The sequence below is a fragment of the Homo sapiens genome, chromosome 5 (genome assembly GCF_000001405.40).
Source record: "Homo sapiens chromosome 5, GRCh38.p14 Primary Assembly".
NCBI classification, from domain to species: Eukaryota; Metazoa; Chordata; class Mammalia; order Primates; family Hominidae; genus Homo; species Homo sapiens.
The window spans coordinates 104624734-104645558 of NC_000005.10; the positions used below are offsets into that span (position 1 = coordinate 104624734).

The window sequence follows — 20825 nt, forward strand, 5'->3', positions numbered from 1 at the left end:
TCTTAATAGTTATTTTGATTTACATTCATGGAGGGGAATTAAGGTTTATTATTGTAGAAGGAGGAGAATTTTTCTCTTAACATTACTAGGTATATAATCCAATAATGGGAATTGAGAAAAGAGTGAGTATTTTCCCTAATTTGGGGGGTGTCAAGGCAGGAGTGCCAAAAATCCACGAGCATTAAAAGGAAATCTGCTGCTGTTGAATTGGGAAGAAGGTCTGTAGCTTCCTCTTGTCTCACCCACCGTCACAAACATACTAGCCTGAACAGAAACTGGGCCATGAGAATGCTTCAGAGAAAGCCATAGCACCAGAGGATTAATCCCTAAGAGCAGCACTGAACGTTCCCATGAAAAAAACACAATTGAAAGTCCTAATGTACTTGTATATTCTTGGAAAATAACAGGTTTTATGACAAAATTACCCATATAGGCTTCTAGCCAACCTTTCCTAGTGGAATCTTGGAGCCTTTCCTTGTCCTATTTAGATAAACACTGATGCTTAATGTCTCTAGCTTCTGAAGAAGAAAGTTTTCTCTTTCCTTGAGGAGTAAGAGAAGAGGTATGTTAGTGTTGCGTTTGTAAAACTATAATTTGATTCCACCTCCTAAGAAGGCAGAGCTTTCCCCACTGAAAGCTACTGCATTTACAGAGCTGTTTGGCCATATCCTTCAAGTGGACTGAGTCTTTACAAAAACTTGAAAATGGTTGTACATCTAAACTGCATTAATTGGAGTCTGGAAAAAAAGTCTAGATACAAAGTAGAAGTTAATCTTAAATCTTGTATTTTAATAGACATAATTTTAGAATAAGAGTTAAATAGCCTAGGCTTTTTTTCTTCTGAATATAGTAGTATAGCAAATAAACACTGTAGATTATCAAATAATCTGTATGCAATGCAAAATCTACCATCGTGATATCTGGCTACTGAAAACTTTTTGAAAAATCACCAAAATATTAAAAGCTGAAGTAATGTATCAAGCATGTCATTATATTCTTTATTTTAGTCTATTTTATTTTGTGACCCGCTCATATATACTCTGTGGGAAAAAGAGCAGAGGGAGGTATTAATTTAGCTGTCTCATGAGTTACATGAAGCAGGTGAGCTCACGTTACCTAATTATACAGTTACCTAAGCTTCTTAGGTATGTCTTGAAGAAGGCTATACTTTTATAAAATTTGATTCTGGTATTATAATATTTACTCTGCATCCTCTGAGGGGATTTTAATAAATTAATTTTAGATTCTTTGAGAAAAAAACTGATGTGTTGCTCCGCATTACACAAAATTTCAAACATAGTCCCACTGAGATATCTCCTGGCACATTCTACTCAAACTTATCTTTAGCGTAGATATGGTTCTGTGCATTTACAATATAACAGCCTTGGGTATATGTTGCACTCTGTAAGATTCTAACAGACAAGTATTAGCAAGCATCATGTTCACCTTTTAACAATGCATCAGTGAGTCGCTTCTGAGACTGATTTAAATGCATTTGAATGTTCAATCCAATATGAATGTGAAGGCATTTAAATGAATTCAGTGTGTTTATCTGAATCTGAGATCATGCCGTACATGTTTATTTGAATGTGTGATGTGCAATCAATCAAATAAATGCACTGAGTGGATTTATGTCATTCTGTGATAGCACATTCAAATAAATGCCTTTAACATTTACAGTGATGTAAAAATGTAAACTAGAAAGAATATTTTTCTTCATTTTTATACAAAGCATGAAAAGGATATAATTTCTTAACTTGAAGGGTACATATATTGTGTAATGACCATATGAAAAACCATATGGTTTTTATTAATCACGTTAAAAAATTGTTTTAGTCTATTTTCTAGTTACAATTCCTACACTTCCCAAATAAACTTGTCACAGGAAAACTAATCAGTTAATTTTAGTCATTATGGCATCAATAGCAGTCTCCTAATAAATTTGGCTACCCCAAGGAATATTGATTTTGAAAAGAAGAATTGTCCATTATTCAGTGACAGACACACCTGTGATTCTGAACACAAGGAAGTGGGTGGGAACTCACATTTATTATCTTCTGGCCTAAAGATACTTTTAGTAGACCACAGTTAATACAAAGGAGAATATATCAAGTATTATCTGCAGAAATATACACGTCAGCTCAAGTGGAGACTGGACATTGACTTCATTTCATCAAAATCAACAGCTAGCTAAAAATGATGTAAGACATACTCTCTATCACCCATTGACATCACACACACACACACACACACACACACACACACAGAGGAATTTACTGCCTCAAAAATTTATGACATAAAAAATTATGTATAACAAAAACCCTGGAGATTCTAAGTAGACCAAATAATCCTAATTTTGATAAAATCATTTTTAAACAAATATTCCACACAGATGGATGTCTGAAGCCCTTATTTTAGCATTTTATATTAAGAAAGTGAGGTAATTTTTCTGTTTTGGTTCTTTTGTTTAGTTTTGTTAGAAATGGGAAAGATGGGGAAATTTGTTGATTAGTGTAATGAATGGATGTCAGGGAAGAACTTGTTCACTCCAAAAGGATGACTCAAATCTTGCCTAGGTAGCTTTGCTTCTAGGGAAGGAATGCTGCAAATGACAGACCTGAGCCCTGAAACAGCCAGGATCAGCATTCAACATAAGTAGCTGGATACACCTCTGCCAATAATTCCTTTTTATTGTGATCACAGTCAATACCATATTCTAGAGATGAATACGGAAATTTCTAATAGTGTTTCTGTATCCCTCTTTATACACATGGATACAATACACAGACACACACACTGTATACTCACTCATCCTTACTCTCACCCATATTCCCAAATAAATGCAGTTAGCCTCATTGTATAAGATTCCTTTTTCTTCCCTTTTCTTCTCATTGTATGATTGTGTTGTATTATGGAACAAAATGTTGTATTATGGAACATTGTATTAGGATTCCTTTTTCTTACTTTTTCTTCTCATTGTATGATTGTGTTGTATTATGGAACATTATATTATTTTCTATACATTTGGGTATTTTGATTTATTGTTCAATTGTTGATTGATACTGATATGGACAGGAGACAGGAAAATACTGGGTAGAAGAGGGAGGTTCCCCAGCAAAGCTTCCCCCTGAAGCCTGGAAACCCTCAGCCCTAAATCGGAACAGTCATTCCTATTTTCATGCCCAAAAGTTGCCTTTTGGCCTGTCACACCCTCCTATCCTGTACCCATATAAAACTCAAACCCCAGGCTCCACAAGCAGATGAGCAGACAAAGAGAAGAGCAGCAGAGAAGCAGACAAGATAAGGAACAGCTGAATGTCAAGAGGAGTTTGGCTGGGGACAGTCAGAGAGATCAGTTGCTGGATGGCCAAACTCCAGGGGAAGATCATCTTCCCACTCCATCCCCTTTCCAGCTCCCCATCCATCCTGCTGATAGCCACCTCCACCTGCTTTCACCATCCTTCAAATCTGTGTGTGACCTGATTTTTTCTGGATGCCAAATAAGAACTCCAGTTACAGAAAGCTATCACACATTCCCTCTGCCCTTGTGAAAAGACAGAGGGTCCAATGAGCTGTTTAATACTTAAGCTGTCTGCAGATGGCAAAGCTGTAACGCATGCTCACTCTGGCTTCAGAGGCCTCAGACACCCACCCCTAGATGCTGCCATGGGGCCAGAGCCCAGGGCCGCTCACCCTGGCTCCTGCACCTGCCCTTCTGCATGCTCCCCCTCCCATAAGAGTTTGAGTGTGCATAGCGGCCAAACAGATGAGCCACACCCCTGTCACATGTCCTGTGAGGGAGGTCAGGAAATTCTCCTATTTCAATATTTAAACTAGATTAGTTCTAGTTTGAGCCAATATTCAAACTCTATTAGTTATATGTTTATAACTGATATGAATGTTGTTCTAATTATATCACAATCTTGCAAATTATTATGTTCATTATCCACTAATGAACTATTTTTCACTAAAATATTGTGTGTGTGCATATATATATGCACATCTCTATATTTCAGTATGCTCAGCCCTTATATGATAACTTTACACATTTTTTCCAAAACTTTCACACACAAAATCTGAACAATAAATATTAAGGTAACTGAAGATACTGAAAAACTGCAAAAAGTATTTCATATTCTGTATTTTAAGTGTAGTTTATATATATTTTAAATAAATCATGAAATATCTAAAATGTACCAATATTTTGATCTTTCTTTAAAGATTCACAAGTTTATACTCCACAGTAAATTTGTAGGCTGGGAAATATCTCAAGTCCATTTAATACTGGAAATTAAATAACACATACTTGCCTTTTTCTATAGATCCCAGATTTGATTTGTTTTTCAAACTGTTGCAAGAGATTATGCTGAGTCATCCATACACTTCTGCATAATATGGCACATTTTTGTGAAGTGACAGCTGAGGTCAGAGAATATTGTTAACTTCTGTTCATGCTCACATGTCATTGGTTTACAGAAATCTTTATATGTATATGGTACACATTATGAATTTAAATTTCACACATAGCCATTTTTCAAATAGTTCCAGTATGGGAGCTTCTTCCTTTTATCTCACAGGAAAGCTCCCTTTCCTCAGGGAAATGAAACCTATGAAAAGACCCACCATATGTGAATTCACACTACAGATAGTTTTTACCATATGTGCTAAAAAGACCAACACTCCAAGGTACTTTCAGCTATAACTCTGAATTTCCTGTCCTTTGTCAGTTCAAACTAAGCTCTTTACATTACTGTGAACTGCATGTAACTCACGTGAATTATACACTGAAGGTAATACTTTACAGTAAGTGGAGGATAATTATTTATTCATTTTGTATTCATTGAGGTAACATTAATCATAGTGACTCCATCTGGGATTTATGGAATATAGTCCATAATTCCAAAGAATTCAACTACACACTTTTTCTCTATTCATAATCCATCTGTAGAGTAACTATGCTTTGTCTGGCACAAAGTCATGTTAATAATATCACAAGGATGTATTTTACTCTTCTTTTGGGCTTCATATGATAATATTTTGGCTACACATAAATGAAATATTCACTTCAATCCTGTGACCAACATTCTTTAAACCTGTACAGCAGATAATGCTAAGTATGTGACTGAAAGAGGTAGGAGTCATCAGGAGTTACCTATGATGATTTTCTTTTTCCAGATATTTTGGGGTTAATGGTAGCTCAAAAATTTTACTAGTCTTAGAAATCAATTATAGTTTGAAAAAATTATATTAAATTGTAATAGCGAGCTGCATCAGTTTGAACAGAGAAATTATTTTAAACCACTTAGGATTAATAGATATAACTTTAGTGATAATTTAATTATACCTATAATGTTAAAAATTACCACAAAAATGTAAAAGTTGGAAACTTTCTACAGAAAAAATGTTTATCTTCTGCAGTTTCCCTCTTGTTCAAATTCAGTTTTGTTTCTGCCATACTATCCTCTTAAAGGAAGTTTTAACATCAACCATGAATGAATTGATTTGAATTGCATTGGCATTGAATTCTTATGTAGAAATTCAAGAGGTGGATTAGAGAGCAATTGTAATCCAAAGATTGTTTTCAGCAAAGTTCTTTTGAATTATGCATAAATGACATTTGGATTCTGCTATTTGAAGTTTATAATTTGGATAGCTATTTAAATATTGATGAGTTGTTTGGGAAGTTTTACAAAACAGATAATGACCAGTCAGACCAACTGGATAAGAATACTTAGAAAAATATGGGGCACTTAAACATTTTAACTTGACGCTTTCTGTCCACTGGAATAGTCCATGTTGTTTACCACATGTTCATGTTTAATTAGTACATAGAAGACTACGGAGAGTCATTCTCAGGACTTTGAAATGCCATATGAAATGCAGAATACTGAGTGTAATACTCTTTCCAGAAATAATTGTGTTCCTGAAAAAAGAAATGTGGTATGTTTAGAAATTGATTTTGTAAGTCGAGATTATAAACTGACACATTAGGGAACTAGTCGTTAACAGTTTATGAATTATCTAAAATATACCGAAAAGATAAAGGTAGTAAAAAGGAAAAGGTAAGAAAACTGCTGAATGATGTGACTTCAAATTGTGACTGTCTTTATAGACCAAAGAAAAAGAGAGAATTCCATACTTTACTACAGAGACAAAGTTTATAGATACATAAAATAAACAATTATAAGCATCTTTGGACAATGATATTTATTACTTTAAGGAAACATCCATGATCAGTAATTACTGAATTTTGTTATACTATTTAAAATTACGATTTGCCAACTTAGTTATTATTCAAGGACTATGTTTTTTACCCATGTTCCAATAGAACCTTCATTCTAGAATGTCTAATTCTAAGTTGACATTTAAGGAAATCTAGGTAATCATGAAACTCACAGCTAGAGTTTTCACCAAGTCCTGAAAAACTAGAACTTTCTCTTAGTATTAACTAACTGTGCTAGTTACTCTCATGTTAAATTTTCTAAAGATTTAAAACTGAATTCATTGAAAAACTTTTTATGTCAATTTTCTACTCAATATTTCAAAGAGAATAGGTGATAATATTCTAAAACTATAATCCAGTTGCAATGTCTATGCCTTTCCACTACCACATCCCCCAAATTACCAAGCCTCACATCTTATTTCTACTGTTATATGGCTAAACTTTTATAAATCTTCTAAACACAACCTTTTGACCTTATGAGTAAAGAAAATAAAATCCAGAGAAGTTAATTCTAAGAGTAACTTCCTAGACCTATATTTCCACTATCTGCTTTGTCCTTAACTCTGTTTCACCTCTCACCTGCTTACTAACTATTGCCAGTGGATTGTTTCATGGGTATTTCTCAGGTAAACTTGTTATTCTTTAATCCCTAAATTAAGACTTCTCTTTCTTCCTCTATTTTTGTTAATGGAGGGTTATTTTCTAAGTAAAACATAAGATGCTTGGAATCACTTTTTTCTATTTTTTTGTGTCTGTGCTTTCTATCAGAAACTATATTACTGATACATTAAACAAATATGAATTTATAAATTATCCTGTCCTAGCACTGTGCTAAGCCATTGACATGTACAGAGCAATCCCCTGGCTTTATGGGCTGAATAGCCCTATTTTGCCTTTTCCCTCAGTTTTGCATCAATTTCTTTCTATTGCCGCTGCTACTGGTCTTAGCCTCCATATAATTTCTCTCTCTATATTTCTCTCTTCAAAAGAAAATCTCCTGAAATAATGTTAATTATATTAGTCTCCTATTCAAAATCTTTGTTGATTACTCCCACACTCAAATCCCACCACAATCCTATCCATATTTCTTTTGTTTTTTTCCTCTTTTTTTTTTTTTTTTTTTAGATGGAATCTCGCTCTGTCACCCAGGCTGGAGTGCAGTGGTGTGATCTCCGCTCACTGCAACCTCCACCTCCTGGGTTCAAGCAATTCCCTGCCTCAGCTTCCCGAGTAGCTGGGATTACAGGCATCCACCACCATGCCCAGCTAATTTTTCTATTTTTAGTAGAGACGGGGTTTCACCATCTTGGCAAGGCTGGTCTTGAACTCCTGACCTCGTGATCCATCCGCCTCAGCCTCCCAAAGTGCTGGGATTACAGGCATGACCCACCATGCCTGGCCAATCTTATCCATATTTCTTATTTTATAATGTAATTGTTATTGAAATTTGAATCAAATGTATTTATCTAGTTTCAACCTCTATTTTTCTAAATTTTATATATATATATATATATATATATATATATATAGAGAGAGAGAGAGAGAGAGAGAGAGAGAGAGGGAGTATTTTCTAGGGATAAAACTCAGTGCTAATTATAGTGAGGAAGACAAATGTAATAAGACATGGTGTCTGCTATTCAAATGTTAGCTCTTTATTAAATAATATAGAATCTTATGTAGACATTATCAATATCAATAAAAGCATAAGGGAAAACACTCAGAAAATTTAAAAGATGAAGAGTCTGTCTTTAGCTGGGGAATTCTAGAAGGAAAGATTTAATGAACATTTCTAATTGATCCTGTAATAACTTTCCCTGATACTCTTGGTTTATTGTCCATCCAGATGTTAATCTTTAAGATAATTCTACTATGGAAAATTTAATATGTCTAGGTACCATAAGTCACATATTTGCATAATAGTTCTTTTTGAGACAAAATCTCACTCTGTTGCCCAGGCTGGAGTGCAGTAGCGCAATCTCGGCTCATTGCTACCTCTGCCTCCTGGGTACAAGTGATTCTCCTGCCTCAGCCTCCCTAGTAGCTGGGACTACAGGCGTGCGCCACCACACCCAGCTAATTTTTGTATTTTTAGTAGAGACAGGGTTTCACCATATTGGCCAGGCTGGTCTCTAACTCCTGAACTTGTGATCCGCAGGCCTCAGCCTCCCAAAGTGCTGGGATTACAGGCATGAGCCACCATGCCTGGCCTTCATAATACTTTTAATAAATGTTTAGTGAAACTGTAATTGAAAATATTTTAATTATTTATGTTACCTTATGATCTAATATGCATATCTGCCTAATACATTCTATCATGAATTCTGTGTCAAAAAATAGTCTGGGTGCAGCCACCCAACAATGCTCCTCTGCTTGTGTCCTTAAAGGAGCTGTATGTGACCCATTGTCTTGGGCCTTAGATAATCATTATTTCTGGGCTCTTCTCAGTTACATGTAACCCTGCCCAAAGCTGAGGGCCAGCTTTGCCTCTGAAACTGCTTTCTTCTTATGACTGCTTGATCTGACTTGGGGCCAGGTCAGATCGTGACAGCATTTACATTGTCAGAAGGGTAATGGAGAGGCTTGCTTATCTGATGAATATAGGGTGCTCCAGTTTCAAAGAATTTTGCTTTTTACCCTTTCCCAATAATTCCCTTAAAAATTTTACCATGGGATATATTGATTGTATAAATTAAAGAAAATAAAAACCAAAAACATTTTTGAAAAGATGCAGATGTTTAACCTTACAGAGTTTAGAATCATTTTTCCTGTAACACATGAAGTAACCCTTTTACCAATTCATACCACTATTGATTTTATTCAAAACTGTACTCAAATAAGTATCTTCTGTTCTTTTCATCTGGCTAAAATGTTTATCATCATCACATGTACGGCTCATCTTTATTAAGCCACTTGCAAACATTTTTTTCATAACATTCCTCAAGTTTTAGAATAACTGTGAATAATTATTGATAACAAATGCTTACTGTTTTACAAAATTCTAAGGTTATCAAAAATTGGATGAGGTAAATTTGATTAATACAGATCATTCTTTTTAAGAAGAAATTTTAGCTCAAAACTTTATTTCTAAATAGAGGAAAAGAGCCAGGCATTGTGGCTCAGGCTTATAATTTCAACCAACACTTTGGGAGGCCAAAGTGGGAGGATTATTTGAGGGCAGGAGTTAGATACCAGCCTGGGCAACATAGTGAGACTGTGTATCTACAAAAATAAAATAAAATTAGCCAAGCCTGATGGTGCATGCCTGAATTCCAAGCAACTTAGAAAGCTGAGGTGGGAGGATCACTTGAGCCCAGGAGTTTGGTGCTGCAGTGAGCTATGATTGTGCCACTGGACTCCAACATGAATGACACATTGAGAACCCTTTTTTAAAAAAAGTTAAAAATGAAAAATTTGAAAAAACAGATGAACAAACAGAGGAAAATAATTTAAGGATTTTGAGAAAAAAATTGTTGGGCTCTAACAAACTCTATTACTCATTGCCCTGAAGTGCAGCGGTCCCCAACCTTTTTGTCTCCAGGGACCAGTTTCATGGAAGTCAATTTTTCCATGGACTGGTAGTGGGAAGTGGGGGGGCACTGGGGATGATTCAAGTGCATTACATTTATTGAGTACTTTATTTCTGTTATTATTACATTATAATCTATAAAGAAATAATTATACAACTCACCGTAATATACAATAAGTGGGAGCCCTGAGCTTGTTTTCCTGAAACCAGATGGTCCCATCTGGGAGAGATGGGAGATATTACTGATCACCAGGCATTACAGTCTCATAAGGAGTGTACAACCCAGATCCCTCACATGTGCAGTTCATGATAGGGTTTGTGCTCCTATGAGAATCTAATGCTACTGATGATCTGACAGGAAGCAGAGCTCAGGCAGTAATGCGAGTGATGGGGAGAGGCTGTAAATACAGATGAAGCTTCACTTGCTCGCCTGCCACTTACCTCCTACTGTGTGGCCCAGCTCCCAACAGGCCCCAGACAGGTACCGGTCTGCTCCTGGGTGCTGGGGACTCCTGCATTACCACATTCATTTGTTTTTGCCAATTTTCATAATATCTACCATATCTTATAACTTTTATTTGTGGAAATACTGTCTGTGGCTCAGGATCTAACTAATGAGTCTCTTCTTTCTTAAATAATTCCTTGATAAATTTCTACCAGTCAGTTTAGGCTAACATACAACCCCAACATTCAGTGGCTTACAACCACAAAAGCTTATTTTTTATATTTTATATCCACTGTGGGTCAGCTATGGCTCTGCTCCTTGTCGTCTGGATGACAAAACAGCCTATATCTGGCACCATGCTAGTCTTACAGAAAAGCTTTAAAAGAAATATGGCAAAGGCAAACTAATTTTTAACGTTTAACTTGAAAGTTATGTATGTACTTCACTTCACAAGTCACTGACCAAAGCAATTCACATGACTCATTCTGAGGTCAAAAATATGAATGAATAAGTCACATGTCCAAGGATGACATCAACAGAATTGAGAAGTATGCTCCACATCAAGGGAAGGATAGCAAATATTTTAACAATAATACAACCCATAGGACTGATCACTGTAATGGAGATGAGAACAATAGAAACTTTAAAAATGTTCTTCCTGTATTCTTATCAACTCGTTAATGTTTCCTAAAATAATATATACTTTATTGGATATGAGTCTTTATTCATTCTGATCATTTCTCTTCTTTATAGTCCCTTCCCAGTTCTTTTTTCAAAGATCTACCCATTTCTCAGAGTTTTAATCACATTCCCATGCTGCCTTAGACACTTCCTTGATGTACTCAACTTAAGTTTGATCCATCTGTTCTTTGAACAAGTGAATATTGATTTTGTAGCACTAAATTTTACACCACAAAAATTTTGCAAGTGTGTCTTCCTGTATTTTCTCCTAAGTTAAACATACGATAACATACTTGACAAAAGTGGAGCCTTGATGTATTTTTCTTTACTATATAGAAGAAACTTTTTCAGAGTTTCATGGTTACAGTACTGCTGCTGCCACTACAGCTGGGCTCTCCAAAGGCATTTTCTGTTCAGGTGATAATGTGAACAAACACATCATTTGTTAAAGTGGGAATTGCTTTTGATTTTGTATTCACCTCTCCTAGTGTGTACTTGGTGGATATAGAAATCCATACCAGCCCCTGCTCCTATCACATGTTTACTGGATGTCTTAATGGATAATCTTTGGGTTGAGAGAAGGAATATTGACCTCTGGTAAGTGATATAGTTTACTAATAAAATAATTCATATGTTATGCATTGAGGTACTTGTTTCTATCCCGCTTTGTGGAAAGAATAATATTTGCATTATTTTAAAAACATTAAAATAAAACACCTTGGAGTTGATGTTACAGAAACCACTGGAAGAAAGAATTTTATAAGGAAAATTAAAACTTTCCTTATAAAGTTATAAAAACAGATGGCAATTAGAAAATAAAAATATAGAGAAAGGGGTCCATTACCTAACTATAATCACGTGCTGCCACATAATGTTTCATTCAGGGATGGACCACATATGACAATGGTCCTATAACATTATAATAGAGCTTAATAATTCATTTTCTAGTGCCAGCATGGATTTCATAACATCGTAGCATAACGTATTATTCACATGTTTGTGGTGATACTGGTATAACAAACATACTGTGTGACTGGTCATATAAAAGTATGACACATACAATTGAGTATGGGACATAATTGATCACAAGAAATGACTATGCTAAAATAATGATAAAAAGTATGTATATATATACACACACACACACATACATATATACACATATGTATATATACAAAAAGTACATATACACATATATACTTTTTATCACTTTTTTAGAGTGGACCTCTTTATCACTTCTTTACATATATATATACACTTTATCACTATTTTAGAGTGTACTTCTATTGTAAGGCAGCCTCAGGCAGGGCCTTCAGTAGGTATTCCAGAAGAAGGCATTGTTATCATAGGAGATAACGGCTCCATGTGTGCTATTGCACCTGAAGACCTTCCAATGGGAAAAGATGGGGAGGTGGTGGAAGACAGCGACATTGATAACCCTGGCCCTGTGTAGGCCTAGGCCAAAATATGTTTCTGTGTCTTAGTTTTTAACAAAAAATAAATAAAAAATAAATATTTTTTAAAAGGTGAAAAGCTTATAGTATAAAAATATAAAGAGTTTGTTTTTTTTTTTTTTTTTTTTTTGAGACAGAGTCTCGCTCTGTCACCCAGGCTGGAGTGCAGTGGCATGACCTTGGCTCACTGCAACCTCTGCCTCCCGGGTTCAAGCGATTCTCCTGCCTCAGCCTCCCGAGTAGCTGGGATTACAGGTGCCCACTACCACGCCAGGCTAATTTTTGTGTTTTTATTAGAGACGGGGTTTCACCATCTTGGCCGGGCTGGTCTTGGACTCCCAACCTTGTCATCCACCCACCTCGGCTTCCCAAACTGCTGGGATTACAGGCGTGAGCCACCGTGCCCGGCCCAGAAATTATTTTTATACAACTGTGCAAGTGTTTTTTTACACCATATGTTCTTACAGAAGAGTCAAAAAGTTAAAAAAATTAAAACAGTCATAAAGTAAAATGTTACAGTAAGCTAAGGTTAATTTATTATTGAAGAAAGAAATTTTAAATAAGTTTGCTTTAGCCTGATGTACAGTGTTTATAAAGTCTACAGAAGTGTGTAGAAATGTCCTAGATCTTCACATTCACTCACCACTCACTCTCTGACTCACCAAGGGCAACTTCCATGCCTGAAAGCTCTATTCATGGTAAGTGTCCTATACAGGTGTACTATTTTTAATCTTTATATTTTTACTGTACCATTTCTATGTTTAGATACACAAGTGATTACCAATGTGTTACAATTGCCTCCAGTATTCAATACATGCTATACAGGTTTGTAGCCTAGGTGTACAGTAGGCTCTACCATCTAGGTTTGTGTATACTCTGATATTCAATAAAAGGCAAAATCACTGAATGACAGATTTCTCAGAATGTATCCCTGTTATTAAGCAATACATGACTGCATTTAGTGAGGTGATACGTGAATACCTAATTCAAAAAAGGAAGGTTGATGCTATTTCAAAATTGCAGATGCTTTTCCATGGCCACTTAATCACCTTCATGTCACAAAGTTTATTATTTTCATAATTTACATACTGACAAAGAAGTATTCGTGAGCAAATAAAGAGTAGATGAAAGAAGGGTTTGAAAACTGTCCAGTATTTTATCATTTTCATGAGCAGTTCCTATTAAAAAGGCTAAAGTGAAGAGTAATAATCTGAGGCTGAACCATTGTAAATGAATCATTTATATGTTGCACAACATGATCAATTAGCTATTAAAATTAGGTCAAACTTTCTGGTACAATACAATCAAAATCTGATTAATATTATTAAGGATATAAAAATATATATGTTAGCTTTTGGAAAATAAACTTGATATTTTGGACTTACAGTGAAAGGAGAAAATGGGGACTAGATGGATGAGAGATAAAGCATGTAGAAAATCAATCAGGAGGAAAGTTCCTTGACATCTGTCAGAAAAGAAATTTCAAAGAAGTGAAAGGCTAAAGCAAGGTAGTAAATGACATAAGCTCAGTTTAACAACTGTAACTTTGAAAATAAATGATAAATTGTTTGATGTACTGTAGTGAAATACCGTAGTAGACTTTCTCTCCTGTTGCCTTTCTCCCTTATTTAGTGCATAAATAAGTTAGATGTTTATTCATCTGTCTCATAAAAGAAACCTATAATTGTAAAAGTAGCATTTCAGGGCTGGTAGGCAGGCATGAAAAAAAAAATGATGAAATGCACTGGGGCAAAAGAGGAGTTCTTCCCATCTGAAACCATTACACCTTTTCCCTAGAGGGGGACTCCCACATTTGCACTTAGATATCTGTGGCAAGAATATAGATAAAAGAACACATACCTAATGAGGGCCCTCATTTTATTAGATTTTCCAAAGTTCTTTCATCCCATTGGATCTTTGCAATTGTGTTTCTGTCTCAGGAAACACTTCATCCCCTATTTGCTCTATGTGAGGCTTACCCTTCCACAGCTCTAAACCAAGAGTAAGACAATCAGGTCTCACCATGTTAGTCTTTGTTAGAAATCCAGTTTTGGATGAGAGACACAAAGGAGTTTTATAAAAACATTGATGTTGAGCTACAGTGTTCCTTGACATAGCAACTAATGGGTAAACTAAGTGGGCATTATTTTTATTGTTTAAATAGTATTGTGATTCTTGAGTAAGGCAGCTGGTTCCTTGTAAAGCAAGGTTGTGAAAGGTCTTCAAAACCATCTTTAATACTACATTCAGACATTCTCTTCTGTTTTTGACCTTGATTTTTCATTTCTGAGGATGCATTAGCTATATGCACAAAGGCTTTTCTTTCCTGTTTTGTGCTTAATGGTTTTCCTTCATGAAGAAGTATTGGAGATGTTGCTATTAAAGCACAATGTGTCTTAAATCAAAAGGTTTCTTATTTACTACTTTAAATAGTAGTATTGTTTTAGTAATTTCACTTACACATGAAATACATATTAAGAGCAACTATAAGTTCTACATGGGGCTAAGTCCTAGGAACACACACACACACACACACACACACACACACACACACACAGACAAATCATGTTTCTGCTCCATCTGGAGCTTGCATTGTGATAGGAGGAAATACATAAAATAAGCAAATTCAGGAATACATGTATTTTTACAAATTGTGATAGTTTTATACAGTAAGAATTCTACACAAAAGAACAATATGTGGGAGACATAGGATTTGCAGGAGTAGTCTCTTACTGAGGAAATAACATTTGAGCCACATTCTGAAGAATGAACAGGAAGAGTTATATAGGTGTGAAATACAAGAGGATTATTCCAAGTGAGGGTACATAAGTATACAAATGCACCCACATAATGGAAATGGAGTGGTAAAATGTGTCCATTCATTCCACTGGAATGTATAGAGCACCTACTGTAGGTACATGGCCTAGCAAGACAGAAAGGTATTGATCCTACCTGGCCACTATTTACAGTCAAAGGGGAAATAGCTTTTATAAATGAGTTAAATGAAGCAGCATTCATAACTACTAAAAGTGTTTCAAAGTTACAATAGGCAGAAATAACGAGTCCTGTCTAATTCTTCTAAAGGTGGCAAGAAAGACATTTATGGACGAGTTAACTCTTGAGTTGTAGGGCCATGAATTTTCTAACTTCTAAGTATCCTGCCTACATGTCTTGTTGTCTTCTGTAGGATTCATTGGTCTTAATTAAACATCTATAGCATGCATCAATTTTTGGTATTAGCTGAGGAGAATCTAAGAATCCTTAGCATCAGTAGTTTTAGAATAAGAAATGCTGGCCTTATAAATTGTTTAGCAGTATAAATTAAGACATTTTATTTTGTCTACCTATTTACTTTTCCACAGAGCCCTTTAGTCAAACAAAATCATAGACAGAAGTCCAATATGTAAAATGAAGGAATTCTCATAACTAATTATCATTGAAATATCAGGGTTAGAGAACTAACAACCTGGTTATAACCCCATCCTCACTCCATAAGAAACCAGATATATGGTCTTTGTCTCCTAGCAGTGTGTACTTTTGGAATATAGGAAACTATATTTTAAAATATTAATATATCTTATTATTCTTATATCTGATTATTTTAGAATAAACTATACCTTAGTTATCTCTGCATTTATCTTTTAATATTTACCTGATATTAATTTATTTTAATTATGCATTTAAAAATACACATTTTTTTGCCAATTTTAGACATCTCCATGTAAAATCAAATTATTAAACATGCCCTTAGCTAAGCAGAGCAATTCTAGGGGCAGAAAAATTGTTCTTTATGACTTCAAAAAACAAAGCAAAAAGCATCAGAAACCATAAGAATAAAGCTGTTGAAAATACAGTTTGATGAGAAATGTATAAACAAGAGGTTATTCTGAAGACTGTTGATTAGTTGTAAAGCTCTTATTAAATAATCAGTTTTAAAGAGGCAGTGATAAAAATGTAAATAAGTCCTTAATTAATCTCTTAGGCAGCTAAATAAACCTAGTCTAAAGCAAAAATATTTCTGTATATTCACAACTCATGACAATCAGTTACCGGATTATCAACTAAATAATAAAATAAAGAAAACTTTTTGTCAAACTATAAGATTGTTGTAAAAAGTGGAGACTTTCAAAAAATTGTAGTTTTCTCTGTTTGAATTTCATTTGTAAATCATAACAGGTTTGAGCTAATTATTCTTTAGTAAGAGATAAAACTGAGAGTTCTCTCTCTCATTTTTTCTTAAGGACAGATAAAAACAGAGATTTGATTCTGACATTCCCAAAAACCAAAAAAAAAAAAAAATCAAATAGAAAAATTGTGGTTTTGTCTAGAGAATGCAAAACTTACCAGTCATATAATTAAATTCAATTGAAGAAAATGACTAGTATAATTAACAAAGTAAATCTAGTAATTTGGCACTATATTTGGAAACAGAAAATTAATTTAATTTCTTTAATTTCTGTTTCTTTAATTTCTGTGTTGACCTCAATGAAAAAGAATGGGCTAAGAAAGAACGTTTTGATAATCTTTAAAGGGTCTAGTAGTTGCCTTGTATAAAAGAATTTTGTGCAATGTATGATTTATTCCTGCCTCTGAAAAGCTTATCAGATTCATCATGTACATTGAAAGGCCATCCATATAAACAGGCCACAGGAAGAAAAGCCCAGTGGCAGTTGCTTGTCACATTTCAAGAGGCATTTTAAAACATATCAAACACTCAAAAGCTTCTCTCTTTAAAGCCTTAGAAAACAATTTCCCCCGAACTCTGTATAAGTTTAAACATCAAAGTACTAAACACAGTACTAAAATATTGTCAATGAACCATTCTAAAAAGAATATTTTGTAATGCTTCAAAGAAGAGAACACTGTAAAGGTCTGAAAATGCTATTTTTAATATCTCACAGTCCTTGGCTCATCTGAAACAAGAGTTAATCCAAAAGTTATGATCTGGATAGTGTAAATAAACAAGTTGATCATTTATAATCCTGCTACTTGCAAGTGACTGAAAATAAAACTCAAAATGGTTTTAGCAATTAGAGAATTCATTAGGTCATATACTGGAAAGCAGTTAGTTACATGGACTAATAAATTATCTAACTTTGGGTAATGAGATAGGAGCTCAGTAAGACCATCAAGCCCTGTTGCTCTAGCTCCACTTCTGTTTTCCATTTTCTCTGAACCAGCTCTACTCTTAGGTATCACATGATGGTAAAATGGAACATCTGCTCTTTCCTCTTCTCAGGTCTAAGTGAAGTAGATATATATGGCTGCATATCCTCCACTAGGTATATCCCCTTTATAGATGCTATGGCTGTGGCCAAGAATTTAGGATATGTCCATAGATCTGGGTCTGTACCATATGGCTATCCCTGCGGCTTCTGGCAGAGCTTCACCAGGAATGTATGATATGGGATTGGGGAAGAAGAAAATGCACAAAAGAAAATAAAGATTGCTGCTGGAAGAATAGGAAGTGATGCAATAGAGGCAAAAGAAAAACAATTATTAATTATACTTTGTATAATTTCCAATTTCCTGGAAATATTTGTGACCAAAATGACATAATATGTAAATTTAATTGATAGAATGTTTATAATACACTATGCTTGATGATTCCCTAATCATCTCTTTACTATTATATTACTTCAAGTGTCAAAAATAATAAAATACCAAATAAAATCATAATAAAAAACATATTTAAAACATTGATTCCTAATGAATGTATAAAAACACAATAATGAAATAAACCGGTCCATGAACTTTAACATCTAAACTGTTCATGAATTTTGAAAATTATCTTTTCAATAAGAGAAAAAAAATTTTCTTTACGTTCTATCCTTACTTTATGGGCAAGCTAATGTGTTTTTCTGTTTAATTAAATTAAATGCATACTGTGCTGCTATCCTTTGGCAGCATGCTGACTTCATCTTATTCCAACGAATTAAAAAAAATTTTTTAAGCTATTGGAAATATTTCCTGAAGAATAAAAAGAGGAATGAAAAAAGGAAAGAGAGAAAAGAAGGAAGGAAGGAAGGAAGGAAGGAAGGAAGGAAGGAAGGAAGGAAGGAAGGAAGGAAGGGAGGGAGGAAAGGGAAAAGAAAAGAAAGAAAGTAAAGATTTAGAGGAAAAAATAAAGAAAACAGCATGGAAGTAGAAATAATACATTTTATTCTTAGCATAATTAGCTAAAACATTATTTACAGTGGGGATGTCTTAATCAGATTATTAATCAAATTAATCAATTTTTGATGTTTTAGTTTCTGTCAAATTGTGTCATTAAATAAGGAATTTTCTTTGAAAAAAAGGCACTGTGTAAAAACAAACAAAAACAATAAGCAAGCAAACAAGTCTCTTTTTTGTGCGTACTGGCTTTCAGTCATTTTTCCCCCACATGAAGAAACAGCACGGTTCGTCACCAGACAACTGAAGCAAAGAATTTACCAAACAATCCTGAGTGTGAGCTACAGAGGATGACCAGGGTATGTTGCAATCTGGTCCTGTTTCATGTCTTACATGTCATCCACTCTTTAGTTAATTTCCTTCTGTCCTCCTTAGGTATGAGAAAAAAGTTTGCTTAAAGGAAAACTTGTTTCAGTGTATTTTAATTTCAGATTTTAAAGACCCAGCTCATTCTATAGCATACAAACACATCTTGGGAAGATTAAATAAAAGAAGTGGGTAAAATTTTGCATTAGATGTGTACAGATGTGATTAAGCAAAACTAGCTCAAAGATTTGCTTGGATTACATTTAATTTTCTTCACTCCAGGACATATTCTAGTGTCACATCAAATTATATGCCTTATTTTTAAAATTGATAATGGTATTTTATGTATAAAGTGTGAAGACATGAAGACAGAAATAGAAATATTTTTATAATTATTTCTCCATCAAGTTCTATTTATTTCAAATTTAAATAAGATATTTCTGTAAAATTTAGCCTCTTATTAAGTTAATTGCATTGAAATTATTTCCAAAGGTAGCTTAAAAAAACAGGTGAATGTGGTTTTTGTGATAAGTTAAAATAATGTAACATATTGGAACTTTTTACAAAATATTTAATTTACTACACATTTTTTAAGTTCTGTAACAACTCAGAGGACTTTTCTCAAGTTTCCTGTATAAAAACAAAGCTTTAATGTATAACATATAAAGTAAGAATTATTTTTTTCATACACAGTAGTTAAAATGTGTAGAATTTAGAGAATATTCAAATATTTAGAAGAGTCTAGAGTGCCTTTTTGAAGGGGTCCCTCTGCCTCTTGGGAAGGGTTAGAGCATGCCAGAGGGCTCCGAGAGCTCCCGCCCTCGGCACAAGAAGGCACATGATCATGGTTGGAGCCTGGTGAGGAAGGCTCATGCACTTGTATGGCTGCAGCCACAGACCCCAAAGCACAAAAATCATGTCCTCTACCAGCATCCGTCTAGTAGAATCCCCCATGTGTTCATGACCATCAGTTAAGTTAATCAATCAGGTGCTAGGTAATCATGGTTAAACTACACACATGTGAAGCAGAGCCGATGGATTTTCCTGGTATTGATTTCTTGTCAGCTTACCAGCACAAACTGATTTAAGTATGCATCAACTAATCATCACACTGAAAGGCCCAGAATATCAGAGTTTGTTTTAAGAAAGAGCTAGGTCAAATTATATTTCACTTCAACTTCAAGCTGACCTATATGTAGTTCCAGAGCAAATACTCTATGACACTTCTTTAGAATCTGTCCCTCTTTCTTCATCTTATACTTCTTACTTTCTTACTTCATCCTCCAGAAGTTAGTATTCTAAGCTTTTTTCTTTAACTGCCTTTTATGTAGCCTAAAAAATAGCAGACATGATTACTACATTATAAAATGTATGATTTGTTGTTAAAATAAACAAAGACAGGTATCTCTGATACCTTTGATATTTGAAATTATTCTGAACCCAGGACCAACTTATTAGGATGCAAACACTACCACTGTTATTGCTTTCTACCCTCATTTCTTTTTATTCCTAGGACTCTTAAGGATAAAAGCCTCCCAGCCTCCCACCCTCAGATTCCTATGGCTTATGAACATACTGTATTTACAGTTTAACAAGGTGTTTATGATTAAGCAATGTGTTTCTTTCTCAACTGAACCCTTTCCCCTTATGAATACAGCCAAATAAATTATTTTCTCTAGAAGCTTATTTTTAAGTGCTTTTCTTGTTATTATTTCTTGCAGAAGAATTATAAAAACTCCAACCCTGAGACGTGAATTGTCATTGAAAAGATTCTCAAGCTCAAAGCCAATGTTAGGGCTTCTTTTAATCTCCTTTCCAAGGTGGCTGCCAATTTTACATGAACTGGGAAGCCTCTATTATTTTTTTCTCTGCCTTTCTTAAACCAGGAAGATTAACCTGCTCCAGGTTGTGCTAACCAACTTCATTTTCCGAGATTTCTTATTGCACCAAGAGATAGTTACTTTCTGTTGTAAGTTAAATAGATCAATTCCTATCTTCCTATGTGGCCTTTATTCT

The 20825-nt window shown here is 34.5% G+C and overlaps 1 long non-coding RNA gene across 8 annotated transcripts in view; it reads right to left on the bottom strand.

Moving 5' to 3' along the window:
* Nucleotides 1-4796: 4796 nt before the first annotated feature.
* LOC105379109 (uncharacterized) overlaps nucleotides 4797-20825 on the bottom strand; it is a 144274-nt gene continuing 128245 nt past the window's right edge. For 4 of the 8 annotated variants that reach the window (NR_188306.1, NR_188311.1, NR_188308.1 and 1 more), the window contains one exon: nucleotides 4797-5923. This is a non-coding gene — a long non-coding RNA (uncharacterized LOC105379109). Of the gene's footprint in view, nucleotides 5924-11168; nucleotides 11285-13714; nucleotides 13795-20825 lie in introns of all 8 variants that reach the window. The other 4 variants (NR_188304.1, NR_188305.1, NR_188309.1 and 1 more) reach the window with 2 other exon arrangements.